Source organism: Homo sapiens, chromosome 13, assembly GCF_000001405.40.
Source record: "Homo sapiens chromosome 13, GRCh38.p14 Primary Assembly".
Taxonomy (NCBI): Eukaryota; Metazoa; Chordata; class Mammalia; order Primates; family Hominidae; genus Homo; species Homo sapiens.
Window position 1 is genome coordinate 100,935,155 of NC_000013.11, and position 14,493 is coordinate 100,949,647.

Below are 14,493 nucleotides of genomic sequence, written 5' to 3' on the forward strand. Positions count from 1 at the left end.
ACTTCTGGGCTGTGTCAGAAACACTGTTTTACCACTTAGTGCTGTGACTCGGAGATGTTCCCTGTGCACTTGCTCTGAGAACTGAGTGTAAGATCCCAGTAGACAAACGTTTTTAACGCACATGCAATGCATGCCTATTTAAATGGGATGGATGGGGAATGAGCATTGTTTAATTGGCTTTCTTATTAACAGAACATTACTAAAACACAAATCTTGCATTACTACTTTTCAATCAATGATTTTCAAACAATTGGAAAAGTCTGTTAAGTATTAAAACGAGAGTGAACAGAATCAGGATCTGGTCTCAAACATCACCTTGGGAAGAAGCTTTCCGTACCCATCCTGTCTAAAGGCACATCCTGCTCCCATTCCAGTCACTATTCTCAGACTCCCCTGAAGCCAACAGGTGCATTTACTCCGTCATATGCTAGAAAATACACTCCACAGGGACCTGGGACTGTGCTCATCTTGTCCACCACAGTATCCCCGGCAGCTAGACCAGTTCCTGGGCGATGTTGAAGCTCAACATCTATTGGTGGACCAGAGCAGTCAATTTCGGAGTGTCTCAGGGTCATAAAGAGTTAGACTGTCCAAACTGTGTGCCTGGAAGGCTATTTCTGTGGAATTTTAACCAATGTTACATGATAAAGGGGCTCTGAAGTCAAATAAATGTGAGAAATAATGGGATGAACAAGGCTAAACAGATGTTTTCAATGTAAGATTTCTGAGAATCTTCAAGATACGAATTATCCAGTCATAGTCCCTCCTCCCCTCTTTTTTGAGGAACATCTTCACCAATATTCAGAGAAAAAGACTTGGGGAAATGTTGCTGAATAGCAAATGAGGATGATTCTGATTGCTTGGGATTTTTGGTGATTTGGAGTCCATATAAACAGGCAGATATTGCAGAATGTTAAATATGCCCCCTTAAAAGAGATAATCCATTTTAAATGGCAAATAATATTTTGAGGTGTGCATAGAAGAAAGGTTTAGTGGTAATATGAGAGCCTCGGGTGTTGTTGAATCCTAATCTTATCACTATGTTTATTTTAGAGAAATGTAATTTCCTGAGAGCAACTCAGGGCTAAGTTGCAAAACCTGGAGAAGAAGGAAGTCCAGCAACATTTGTTGCTGTTTTTACATTTTGGTCTTATGTGACCTTCAGGTTTCAGCAGCTTATCCATCCAGTGATAAAAGATGCTTTTTTTTTTTTTTCGATAACAGCCTCTTTTACTTTGCCTGTTAATAACAAATGATTTCTAATTAAGAACCTCTTTTTGATCTTGATTTTGGGTGTACATTTATCAATAAGTTTAAAAGAAAGGTCTTTTGACTTATGGGATTTGTGTTTTTTACTTTTTTCAGCTATGCATTTGATCGTACTTCCCTAACCATTTCCCCAAATGGAATAATCAAATGAATTTTCTTTACCTGGTCTTGTCTCTTCAGATATTATCATGTTAAGTTGAATCCTATTCAGAGAAAATCTTACAAATATTGCAGAGTTGTTCTACCTCAGCTATTCTCTGCATCCTGTTTGTATTGCTCCAAATCTTGTCTAATTTATTTCTTTTCCTTAGGCATGCTAAAATTACTTATTCTATAAAATGGTAACTTATAAGAAAACACCACACATTTTTGCATTTGGTCCTGGTGACTTATTTTGCCACTACAAAGAAATTTAAAATGCCCTTTACCACTAAAGAGTCTAATTTTGCCTCTTCCCTCATGTTGAAAAATTTCATTCTAGTCTTACTACTAGTTAGATGGTCTACGTCTGTGGTTCCTGACATGCAGACCATGTGCGTCATGAGTTTCTTCTTGAGTCCATGTGCCCAGTAAGCAGTATCTGTAGGTTGACTAAATAATCTCTTGCACATGTATGGGTTAGTATTTTAAAAATGTAAGTAGACACTTAAGATTAAAATAATTCAAATTAATTAAAGGCATCATCGAATTCATAGAGGTATGTTTTTATTAATACAAAGAAAATAAATATAAATGCTACCTATATTATAGGGGTCTAAGAAATGTTTTGTTTAACTTTAAGTTCAGAGGTGCATGTGCAGGTTTGTTACACAGGTCAACTTGTGTGATGGGGGTTTGTTGTACAGAGTATTTCATCGACCAGGTATTAAGGCTAGTACCCATTGATTATTTTTCCTGATCCTCTCCCTCTTCCCACCCTCCACCCTCTAATAGGCCCCAGTGTGTGTTGTTCCCCTCTATGTGTCCATGTGTTCTCATCATTTAATTCCCACTTAAAAGTGAGAACATGCAGTGTTTGGTTTTCTGTTACTGCATTAGTTTTTTAAGAATAGTTGCCTCTAGCTCTGTCCATGTCCCTGCAAATGACATGACCTCATTCTTTTTTGTGGCTGCATAGTATTCCATGATGTGTATGTACCATGTTTTCTTTATCCAGTCTACCATTGATGGGCATTTAGGTTGATTCCATGTCTTTGCTATTGTGAATGGTGCTGCAATGAACATACACAGGCATGTGTCTTTATAACAGAATCATTTATATTCCTTTCGGTATATAGCTGGTAATGGGATTTCTGGGTCGAATGATATTTCTGTCTTTAGGTCTTTGAGGAATCACCACACTGTCTTCCACAGTGGTTGAACTAATTTACACCCCTGCCTCCAACAGCATATAAGCATTACTTTTTCTCCAAGACCTTGCTAGCATCTGTGTTTTTTTTTTGACTGTTTAATAATAGCCAAAAAATGTTATTTTAAACTTTTATTTTAGGTGTTAAAAAAGGTCCTCATGTTCACCCTAAGGGATTCCACGTTCCTTCCATCTTCTAGTAAGATTTTTATCCTATTATAGTATGTATTGCCCCTACCCATAATGTTAATCCAACGCTTCCTCCTATCCCTTTCTTGCTTTAGAATTTATACCCATAAGGGTGCCACATGGTTTTAAAAAGTATAGTGTGCACTTACTTTAATAATACTAGTTCACTCTTTTTTGTTTGTTTTTAGAGCTAGGATCTCACTCCATCACCCAAGCTGGAGTGCAGTGGCAAGATCATAGCTCACTGCAGCCTAGAACTCCTGGGCTCAAGCAAGCTTCTTGCCTTGGCCCTCCAAAGTTCTCAGATTACAGGTGTGAACCACCATACATTGAAAAATATGCATAAAGCTCACACTGAGTGGTTCTTGTCACTGGGTATGTATAAGAATCACCTGGCCAGGGGTGGTGGCTCACACCTGTAATCCCAGCACTTTGGGAGGCTGAGGTGGGCGGATCATGAGGTCAAGAGATCGAGACCATCCTGGCCAACATGGTGAAACCCCATCACTCCTAAAAATACAAAAATTAGCTGGGCATGGTGGCGTGCGCCTGTAGTCCCAGCTACTCAGGAGGCTGAGGGAGGAGAATCACTTGAACCTGGGAGGCAGAGGTTTCAGTGAGGCAAGATCATGCCACTGCATTCCAGCCTGGCGACAGAGTAAGACTCTATCTCAAAAAAAAAAAAAAAAAAAAAAAAAAAAGAAGAGAATCACCCAAATCACCCACGGAGAAATACAAACAAATCTCATCATGGTCCTGTCTCCACCAACAGGATGAGCATCTTCTGGGAAGGAGGGGGTGCTTGATATCTCTATTTTAAAGGAGTTCCCTAGGAGAGTCAAATGCATGGCACATAGGAAGAACCCACTGCCAGCAATGGACCAGGCACCATGTTTGGTGCCTGGCATTCCAAGAGTGAACAAGTTAGACTTGGGCACCGTCTCCTCTAAGACTCTGGTCTTGCAGAAATCCCACAGCAACTTCTCTTTGAGTCCAGTCAGCTTGTCACCAAATGCATTGTATTCTGACACCCTGCAATTATTGCATAAAAATGGTTTAATTAATTACAACATGCCAGACATAAACACTTGATTCTTGGCCTTTAAAGCTCAGATACCAGACTGTCTGGCTCTAAACTGCATGCCTGGCATATGGAGTGCACAATGCCTGGCACCTAGATGGGAATCAATAGATGTTTCTCTTTCATGAACAATTGAATAAAAGAGCAATGTTTGCTGTAAAGGAATTGTTTGCTAACTTCACATTTTCAATTATTAGTTGTGGGGAAAAACTGCCCAGAGGCAAATTTCCTGATTCCTGTTTATTAGAAAATAAACACTTGCAAAAAAAGACTGTTCTTATTACATCTCCCAAGTCTATCAAATTTCAAACATATTACAGTCTTTACTGCTAAATTTTACAAATTGTCCTTAATTCCAAGTGAGATAAATTAGATTTAGGTTTCTTCCTCTTGTAGTACCTCCCGATTCTCTCTGTCTCCCTCACTCTTTTTTGTGATTCTTACTGTTCCACTTTTATTTATGTTTTCTTTCTTTTTTTTTGCAAGGATAAGAAGATTTTGATTCTGGTACTTCTTGCTGGATGACTTTGGGAGCGTCAGGAAAGTTTTGTGGCCTACATTTTCTCATCTGTGTAATGGAAATAACATTTTCCACATTGTGCTTTAGGAGAAGGATAATAATAATATATCAAAACACATTTGGCCGGGCGCGGTGGCTCATGCCTGTAATCCCAGCAATTTGGGGGGCCGAGGCGGGTGGGTCACTTGAGGTCAGGAGGTCAAGACCGGGCTGGCCAACATGGTGAAACCTCGTCTCTACTAAAATACAAAAATTAGCTGGGTGTGGTGGTGCGTGACTGTAATCTCAGCTATTTGGGAGACTAAGGCAGGAGAATTGCTTAAACCCAGGAGGTGGAGGTTGAAGTGAGCTGAGATCGCACCACTGCACTCCAGCCTAGGTGACAGAGTGAGATCTGTCTCAAAACACACACACACACACACACACACACACACACACACAAACCCGAAAACCAAACAAAAAACCCACATTTAACTTGATATGTAGGAAGTACTAAAAAACGTCAATTGTACCTAAATATATTCCACTATTTTCATATTACAGATGAGGAAAATGAGACTTGGAGAGTTTCACCAATACACTCAAGGTCTTATAGCTCCCTAGGGCTGGACATATGCTTAGAATGTGATGGCAGTGGGAGAGGCCATGGGGAGGGGTGTACCTTGGTTCTAGGAAACACAGAGATAGTAGGAAAGTAGCATGGGAAGGACTCTATATCAAATGTGTATAAATCTATAACAAAATTCAGGCCCGAGGGTAGACGTGAGGCTGCTGATACAATAATAGCAGGAGAGATCTCTGATTCCACCCTTTGGGAGGCTCTGGCATGTTGGCTTTCAGCCGGTTCCTAAATCTTTCAGCCTGTCTTCTCTGCAGTGAACCATCCGAGGGCCTCTGTCCTTTCCTTGTATTTCTGGTCCTCTTGAATCATCCTCTTCCTCACATTTGTTTCCTCTCAGGTTCCTCATCTCTTTAGCCGATGTGGCTGAATGCCAGGTGGTATCCTGGCTAAGGCTCAGCCAATCCTGGCTTATGGGAACAAGAATGAGAACCTCGGGATTCTACACTTCATCCTAATTCCTTGGATTTTTAAGCTGTGTTTGTGCTGAGCTGGGTGCATGCTGTGTTTCTGTAGTCGATTTTTCCTCATCAGGGAGTCTCTCTTGCATACATCTTTCCTGAACCTGGTACTGACTGATTCCCCTGATTTTGAGTGTATTCTCCTAACAAAGGCAAGCAGTGCACATTGGCACAGCCGCTTGGTATTTTTCCTAGAATGCTAGAAGGAAGCAGACATTCATTTGCTTTTCGCCAGTCTCTCTTTGTCTAAATTGTCCCATTTGGCTCAGCCCGTTGGCTTTAGTCATTAGAAGGGGGATGTAGGAAACTGTTCCTCTTGGTTTATGAGCTTAAGCCCAAGTACATCAACATGTGCCTTACCAGGACAGAGATTTACATAAATATTCCTGGGCTATCAGAGTTCTGTGAAGAGTGTTTCTGCATTCCAGATGTAGGGCACGCATGTCCAAATCCCATGTGGAGGTCACAGTTCACTAACTCTGGAGGGCCACCTAGAGAAAAGAAGTGTTTCAGGATAATCACTCTGCAAACTGTAGACAAGAGACCCAGAAACCACCATTCTTTTGGTGCTGTTTAGAATTTGGACAAAGAGCCACAGACACATTTTTGAGGTGAGGAGAACTGCGTTTTCCTTTTCATAATGTAAAAAAACCCATCTTTAGCATTTTTGGAATAAGCAATATTCATCTCTCAATTAGTGTTAACAGCTAATCAGGGTGCAGCAGGATAGTAGAGCTTTCCTCGAACAGCAGGCAGCTTGTTTTATTTTTTCAATGCAGCTTAAAGATTATTTGAAAAATCTCCTTCAGAGACCAGTGTGCGGGGAGCCACCTACCCCAGTCAGAATTTAAAATGATCCATAATACAATATTAATGATTGATGCGGAAGCTCACAGTTTGGGGCTGGGGTTTAATTAGATAAGCATTGCAGCTGTTTTCGGGTGGAAGCAACTTGATAGGACGTGGAGCTGTTATGTGACTTCCCATCTACAGGGTATCTATTGAAGCGGAAACAGAAGCAAGCTACTAGGAATTATGATGATTACATTTTTTTTTTCAGTGCTGAAATGAGTAGAAGTCTGATTGTAGGGGAGGAAAAAGCATTTTGTAATTAAAAAGGTAGGTTTGGATCCTCTATTCATTTGCTCATGAACTTAACATTCATAGAAAAATCAGCTAGTTGCAGGCAAGCAAAGATCTGGCAAGCTATATGTAAAGAAGTTACATGTGTGGCTCTTTTGGCCTGTACCACTTTGCACGTACAAAATCCTTTTGCCTCAAACCCATCCTTCCCTTTGCAAACATCAGGTCATGTCAGGCTGCCTAATGTCTTATGCATGCAGACAAATACCTCTAATGGGCTGCTTTGGAATTGCTTTCTCACCCTGAAAACTTGAGAAGAATTTAAACTGGGGTCCATTTCACCGTATGTCACTTTCTAAGTCAAAGGGACTTGTCAGCATTTGATTACGATAAGAGGAGTTTCCTGTGTCTCAAGCTGGAAATGGCTAGAACGCACTGTGTAGTCTGTTTACAACTAAGCTTCAGCCTGTATGAATGACCTCTAGTCATGAGAGCCATCTCATGAGGGCAGTTTATTGAGGCTTATTGTAAATTAAATGCCCCAGATTTCCAGGATTTATTCCACCACAATGAGGCTTGGAACTCTGTACATTTAAAGTGGTTTTGTTAAATTGATTTTTAAATTATCTCTACCTAATAAAAAGGAAGCCTGTCTAGGTGTTTTGTGTTGTAAAATAATTATACTAGCCATCTGGTTATCTATGAGATAAATTTTTAATTGTTTATTGTCAATAACTACAAAATGTGAAGTCACATGAGAATGCTAAGTGTATTATTTTTATTGTGTAGATGAAGCTTACTGAGTCTTCTCCTGATTGTTCTAAATCAATTTCTGCCTGACTCTTTGTGAATAGGGGAGAAATGAATCTTTTGGAAGGTGCATTAACTCTCTCAGGTTATTGTCATTCTTTGCACTGAAAAGGGACTTAAGCACTGCTTTCTCCCTTCCGGTTAGAGGTGTTGGAAGGTGAAGAACTAGGGATTAGAAAGCTTGAAAAACGGAGCCCTGGTTTGTCCATTTTCTAGCTGTGTGATCTTGTTCAGTTTGCTAAACTTTGAGACTCTCCTCATTTGCAAAATCAAAACAATAGCACCTGCCCTGCCTATCTCACAGAGTAATTCTGAAGATCTAGTTGGATGACACATGTCTTCAGGTTGAGACCTGAAGCTAGGCATGTCTAATATTCTGCACACAAACTGTAATGAATTAATGTAATAAATCAACAGGGGCTTCAGTGAGGCAGTTCCCTGCAGTCCATGCTACTGAGAATAGATGATTCTGTCTCTCTTAAACTTTCCATTGATCAAGGACGATGGTGAAATATTTGGATTTCTAAAGCTTCTTCTAATAAGTAATAACTCTTACCACCTGCCTATTTTGAGAGGTGTGGAGAGAGTGTAGGGTTATTCAGGCAGATATATAGATGAAGAAAATTAGATTGTGCATGACCCAATGAATTACAAGTCAGACCTTGGACCCAGGACTTCTGATTCCAAGGTGAGTGTTACCTCCTTTACAGCGGATTATCTCTGCAGACAGTATGTAAAATTAATGGAAATGAGGAGATGGGCTATGAGGGAAATGTGTGATCAATTCTGGAATTGCAGAGTGCAGATGTCAACAAAGCAGGTAATTCATTAAAGAAGATCAATAGGCTGAACAGCATGGTTGCCATGAGATGGACCGCAGATCACTATTTTGTGTATACAAGAGATTTGGCTATATTGTGGATTTAAAAAAAAGTAAAACAGGCTGAGTGCAGTGCCTCGCACCTATAATCCCAGCAACTTGGGAGGCCAGGGCAGGTGGATCACTTGAAGTCAGGAGTTTGAGACCAGCCTGGCCAACATGGCGAAACCCTGTCTCTACAATAAAAAAATTAGCCGGATGTTGTGGTGTACACCTGTAATCCCAGCTACTTGGGAGGCTGAGGCAGGAGAATCTCGTGAACCCAGGAGGTGAAGGTTGAAGTGAGCCGAGATCACGCCACTATACTCCATCCTGGACAACAGAGTGAGACTCTGCCTCAAAAAAATAAATAAATAAAACATACTCCTTTTAGTTGCATGCAATAATGATTGTTGATCATTTGCAAGTGATGCTTCCATACTTGTTCCCTTGATAAAGTAATTGATCAACCTATGGTCCCTTCATGCCTTTTCTAATTGATGCTGATGGAAAAGCTGACAACAATAAGTGATAGGGTTATTGTAATACTCCATCAAGATCTTTGAGGATAGAGATGGATTATAGTGCTTTAAACATCACTATAGATCCTGAAGGCAATCAATAAACGCTACTAAGGATGGGAAAGCCTGGTGGACTGCTGAGTAAGAGGTAGATGTGAATATTTTGGATAAAGGGAATGTACAGAATGTAGGAAATGCTAATACATAGTTAATGCATAGGCAATAGACACAGGGCTTGTAATGTATAGACAAGCACTTACCTTGTAGAATAATGGTAATTTTGATGAAGGATAAACAGCAATTACTTTTAATTTATTGGTATCTATTGGTCTTCCAATCCAGTGAATAGTCTTTCAGAGTTCAAATTTGGGCTGCATTATCCATCCCAAGGTTAAATTTTCCACTGAATAGCAGTGACCCCAAATCAAGCTACTTTTCACATGACATAGTCACGCACTCGGCTGAACACTCCTGCAGCACTTTTCACATGCCTCTGTTAAGCAGTTGAGGCCACAGCTCTGATTGAGATGCCTCAGAGAAAGGTTATTAAGTGAGAAGAGTAGATGGTCTAACATCAAGCATTAAGGCACCCCAACACTTATAGGCTGTGTAAGTGAGGATTTGAGAGGTAGAGCCAATGAGTAGCTGGGGACAGGAAGACAATTAGGAGAGGGTGACATCACTATAGAAATCCAAGGAAGAAAGTGTTTCACAAAGAAGGGCGTGGCCAACAGGGCTGAGTTGTCGGGGAAGATGAGGGCTGAAAAAGGTCAGTTGGCTCAAGTAATATGGAGACCACTAGAGAACTTGGCAAGGGCTGTTTTAGTGAAATGGAGTGAGCAGAAATCATATCTCTGTGGGTTGAGAAGTGAGTGAGGGTTGTGTAAAGTAAACAGAAAGTACATACAACGATCTCACTTGCAGTTATTTTAGAATCCATGATGCCATTTTTCCATGTATTCCCCTAGAGTCACAGTTAAGACAAGCTGTGAAGGTTTCCATCCAGAAAGGCCTCCCATCCATCTGGAGCTAATATTATTTCCAGCACTCAGGGTAGCTCCTGAGAACCAACTAATCCTGTTGCCAGCCCACCTGGTGTAGGATTTCCAAGAGCAGCCGGCTTCTTCCAGAGAGGCCTGAGTCCTCCAATCCATCAGAGACTTCAGAGTCCAGGTCTGTGGACATTTCTAGGTCGTTTCTTTCCCCCATGACTCATCCATGTCTTTCACACAAACTGAACAAGGTCCTCTGGTCACTGTCCTCTTCACGTGGCCATGTGCTTCCTTCTCCCTGGACCTGATGTAATTGCTCTTCTTCTAAACTTTTCCGCTGTGCTCTGTGGAACCTCTATTAGTTGCAAACAATTTCATGCATGCTCTTCACCTAGTTACAGAAAGTTTCACCATTTCTTTGCTCTCACTGAAACCTTTGCTCTCAAGTGTATGCTCTCATTTGGATTGGGGTCCTCCTTGCTCTCAGAGTCCCTTGCAGATCTTCGCTCATTCACCATGTCTCCTGGTCACTTCCCTTCTTTCAGGGAGCCCCTGGACCTGCTGCCATTCTCTTTGTCTCAAGCGGGTGTGACTCACCCTCCACCCTGGGATCTTACCTTCTTTTCTACCTCAACAGACCAGGACATGGCAGGACCCACCATCCCAATCTATCCCCCATCTGACCGTTTCTTCTGCCTTCCTGCTTCCAGGCCCGACAGTCCTCAACCTGGGCTGCTGCAGCCTTGGGAATCAGCCTCCTGTTTCTGCTTTTGCCCTATATGGCATCTTCCATCTTCCATGACACCCAGAAGAATGTCTTAAAAATGTGTCACATTGGCCAGGCACGGTGGCTCACGCCTGTAATCCCAGCACTTTGGGAGGCCGAGGTGGGCGGATCACGAAGCCAGGAGATCGAGACGATCCTAACTAACACAGTAAAACCCCATCTCTACTAAAAATACAAAAAATTAGCCGGGCGTGGTGGCAGGCACCTGTAGTCCCAGCTACTTGGGAGACTGAGGCAGGAGAATGGCATGAACCCGGGAGGCAGAGCTTGCAGTGAGCCGAGATCATGCCACTGCACTCCAGCCTGGGCGACAGAGCGAGACTCCTTCTCAAAAAAAAAAAAAATTGTCACTTTGTGTCACACCCCCACTTAAAACCCTCCAGGAACTTTTCTTCATACCAAGACTGAACTCCAAAGCCTTACCATTGTCTGGAAAAGCCTCCAGGGTAGGCCCCTCTCTGTCCTTATCTCCTACCACATCCACCTTGCTCAGGCTACTCCAGCCACCCCCAAATCTACCAAGCTCATTCCTTCCCCACAGCATCCTCTTCCAGAGAGAGCTCCTCTTTCAGTCATCCACAGAGCTCACCCCTTGCTCCATCCAGTTCCCCACTCAAATGCCAACTCTCCCTGGTCACTTTAACTACAAGAGTTCCTTCCTCTCCCTGTCCCCAATACCACTCTCAACCCTGATGCTGGGCACACATCAGAAGCAGAATTATTGTGTCCTTGGGTGTGTTAGCGTCTCTCTCCTCCATTAAGTGCCTGGAAGGTGAGGATCTGTGCGCTGTGCCCACCACTGTCTCCTCAGCGCCTGCTGTGAGCTGAGTACATCCTATGTGCCAAATAAACCCTTGTTGGATGATGAAGGAACAAGGTAGCCAATTCACTCTTCTCCAGCCACTTTGTCTTAAAGCCATAAAACAAGTTCTTGTGGCATCCAGATGTGTTGGGCTAGAGACCTAAAATAGCAGTTCTTCTCCCAAAGTGCTACCACTGAAGAGTGGACCTCCTCTGCGCCTTCTCGGCATGACTCTCATAACTGTGCAGTCACTCTCGGGTCTCAGGATGGGCTCATTCCAGTCCTATCTCTTCTAAACTTTTGTCTACCATCTAAAGGACTCCTTGGTACCTGGCACAGGCCAGCCCATGAGGCTGGTCCCCATTTAGAATGGAAGAGAGTTGTGGTTCTTTCTCCTGAGTCTTCTCTCCCCTCTATGGGGCAGGGACGAGTGGAACTAAATGAAGGTCACAAGGCAGATATCTTCTGCCTCATAGCCAGCAGCTGTCAGCTTTGTTGGGCTCTCTGTGCTGTTATCGTCCTCTTGGCAAGGACATGTCTCAGCAAGCCTGTGCAATAACTGAAAGTTTTTCTGAACTTAAAATGTCGAGTTCTTAGGACTTCTGGGCTCAGCTTTGGGCCTTAGTTGCAATTCTGAGAAAAGCAGAGAAAACATACCAAGCCCCAGTGTCATCCTTTCAACCAAAGGTCCAGGAACAGCTCAGCTGCTGAGACTGTGCAATGAATGCACCGCTCTGGCCTCAGCTTCCTGGCTTTCCAGTGTCCCCACTCTCTTGGGCCCCTGCAAGACTGTCAGCCTCCTTACCTACCAGCCTCGAGGGACTTCCGCTTGTTCCCCACCCTGCCTATAACTTAGGGGTGATCACTTCAGCCTCCTTAGAGAGGTCTTCCTGGATGACCCCAAACACAGCAGGCTCTTCCTTGTCACACCATGTCTGTCATGGCCCCTACCCACCATCTGAAATTCTGATTTCCGTGTTTATCCTCTTGTTTCTTGTTTGCCTCCACTGCACAGCACTGGAACAATCCTTGCCTGTGTTGCTCACCACTGTGTCTCCAATGCTAATGCTAAAGCTTGGCATGTATCAGGCACTCAGTAAACGTGTTGAATGAGTGAAGACATTTCAACAATTCCCTTGCCAATGTCTTCAGTGCTCTTGCCCTCTAATGCCTTCCCCACCCGTCCACCTAAAAGCCAATCTTGGTCAACTTGCATCTCCTTTTCCTGCCCCTACCCTGGCCTGCTGAGCATGGCTGGAGGAAATCACGCGATGTTTGGGTTGCAGCTGCTACCAGTCCATGATCTCCAACCTCAGCTGAGGGCGACCATTCTTCTGTGAGTCTCAGTCATCTCTCTTCCACTTGCCACCATATTTACTTCAAGGCTTCCTCAGTTTCCCTGTGCCCCCCGACCCAACTGGGAAAGTGGAAGATATCAGATGGGAATTGGCTCAACTGTCCAGTCTCCCTGACACTTGTCTTCATCCATCCTCACATGCTTCAGTCATTGCAATGTGGCGTGGACTTCCCTTCCCTTCTCCTCCATAAGCACACACCTTCCACTGTGCTCTCCCACCTGCTCATGGGTTCCCTTCACCCAGCAGCCTTGCTCCTGGGGCTTCCACAGCTTCTTTCTTACTGATTCTTTGCCGTCAGTATTTAAACATGATCAAATCTCTCCAGTTGCGGAAAAAAAAAAAAAAAAAAAGGAAAACAAACCCCCAAGCCCACCCTCTCACCCATGTTTCATTTAGATTCTTTATTCTCTCATTCATTTCCTTTTTTACAAGTTTTTTATTGAATGCCTTCACTCCTGTTCATACTGAAATCCTCTACAATCTCATTCCGCCCCCACCACACTAAAGACCCCTGCTTTTCTGGAACCTTATACACTTAGGCTGATGAATAATTTTAGGCTGCAGTGCATGCAGGCCATTGTCTCAGCTCCACTCTAGGGAATTAAAGAAGCAAAGGCTTTTCATCTATTTATTAGGATTCTCCTAAAGAACCAAGTGGTACAAAGACCCAGAATTATCAGGGAAACCAGCCCAGTAGCCGCGCATTTGCTCTTACCTTCCCTATACCTTCATGACCAGTATCATTCTCAGGAGGTGGTGCCTTTCTATTTCTTCCCACCTGCCCCACCTACCTCTGTTTGCTGTTTTCATCTGGAGCACATGGTGTGGTTTGCCTCACTACGACAATCCCTGCTTCTTCTGTGGGAATGATCTCGACCTTGGCAAAGGTCTAGAAAAGAGTGCAGTTGGGTGCCTTCCTCCCACAAGATCCCCCCTAAGTCGTGACCTGAGGATGGAAGTTTTCTCTTGTGCCTGGATCCATATGTTCTATGTAACTGTAAAGCTGATGCCCAGTCTTATCTCTGGGGTAGACTTCACAGGTTGTCTGGGCCCCATGTGTGTCTCATGGAAAGAGCGGAAGGTCACAATGTCCCAAGGCTCCTCCAGGAGTTTGGAAGTATCTGCTGCAGATGGCTAGAGACAGATGGTTTTGAGTGGCTTGACAACAAAAAAAATGCTGTGCAAGTTCAACTGAATTCTTTTTTATTTTTTTACTTTATTTATTTATTTTTTGAGGTGGAGTCTCTCTCTGTCACCCAGGCTGGAGTGCAGTCACGTGATCTTGGCTCACTGCAACCTCCGCCTCCCAGGTTCAAGCAATTATCTTGCCTCAGCCTCTCAAGTAGCTGGGACTACAGGTGCCTGCCACCATGCCCGGCTAGTTTTTGTTATTTTAGTAGAGACAGGGTTTCACCAGGTTGGCCAGGCTGGTCTCAAACTCCTGACCTCAAGTGATCTGCCCCACTCAGCCTCCAAAAGTCCTGGGATTACAGGCGTAATCCACTGCGCCTGCCCTGAATTCTTTTTTTAAAGACTTCTGATTTTCACACACTCATTAAATCGCTTGGAATAGGGAGAAAGGATGAGAGGTAAACATTTTGGCAAGAGGAAGGTGGGAACTAGTGGTAAACAGCTAGAGGAGAGTCCACGGTGAAGGAGGGCTGGAGGATGGACGTGCTTGCCTGGTTGCTATGCAGAAAACACCATCACTGGTACACTGTGCCTTTTGCAGGCAGTGTCGTTTTGCTCGTTTCCTGCTCCATCCCTCCAGATTCCCTGCATTTCAAGACCATA

At 43.3% G+C, this 14,493-nt stretch overlaps 2 long non-coding RNA genes across 2 annotated transcripts in view; one reads left to right on the forward strand and one right to left on the reverse strand.

The window, feature by feature from the left end:
- NALCN-AS1 (NALCN antisense RNA 1) overlaps nt 1–14,493 on the forward strand; it is a 350,962-nt gene that overhangs the window by 226,830 nt on the left and 109,639 nt on the right. The window lies entirely within an intron of this gene.
- On the reverse strand, nt 4,366–9,210 carry LINC00411 (long intergenic non-protein coding RNA 411). Its single transcript, NR_047015.1, has 3 exons — nt 9,021–9,210; nt 5,848–5,978; nt 4,366–4,455 (listed from the first exon to the last, which is right to left on the reverse strand). It is a non-coding gene; the product is annotated as a long intergenic non-protein coding RNA 411 (long non-coding RNA).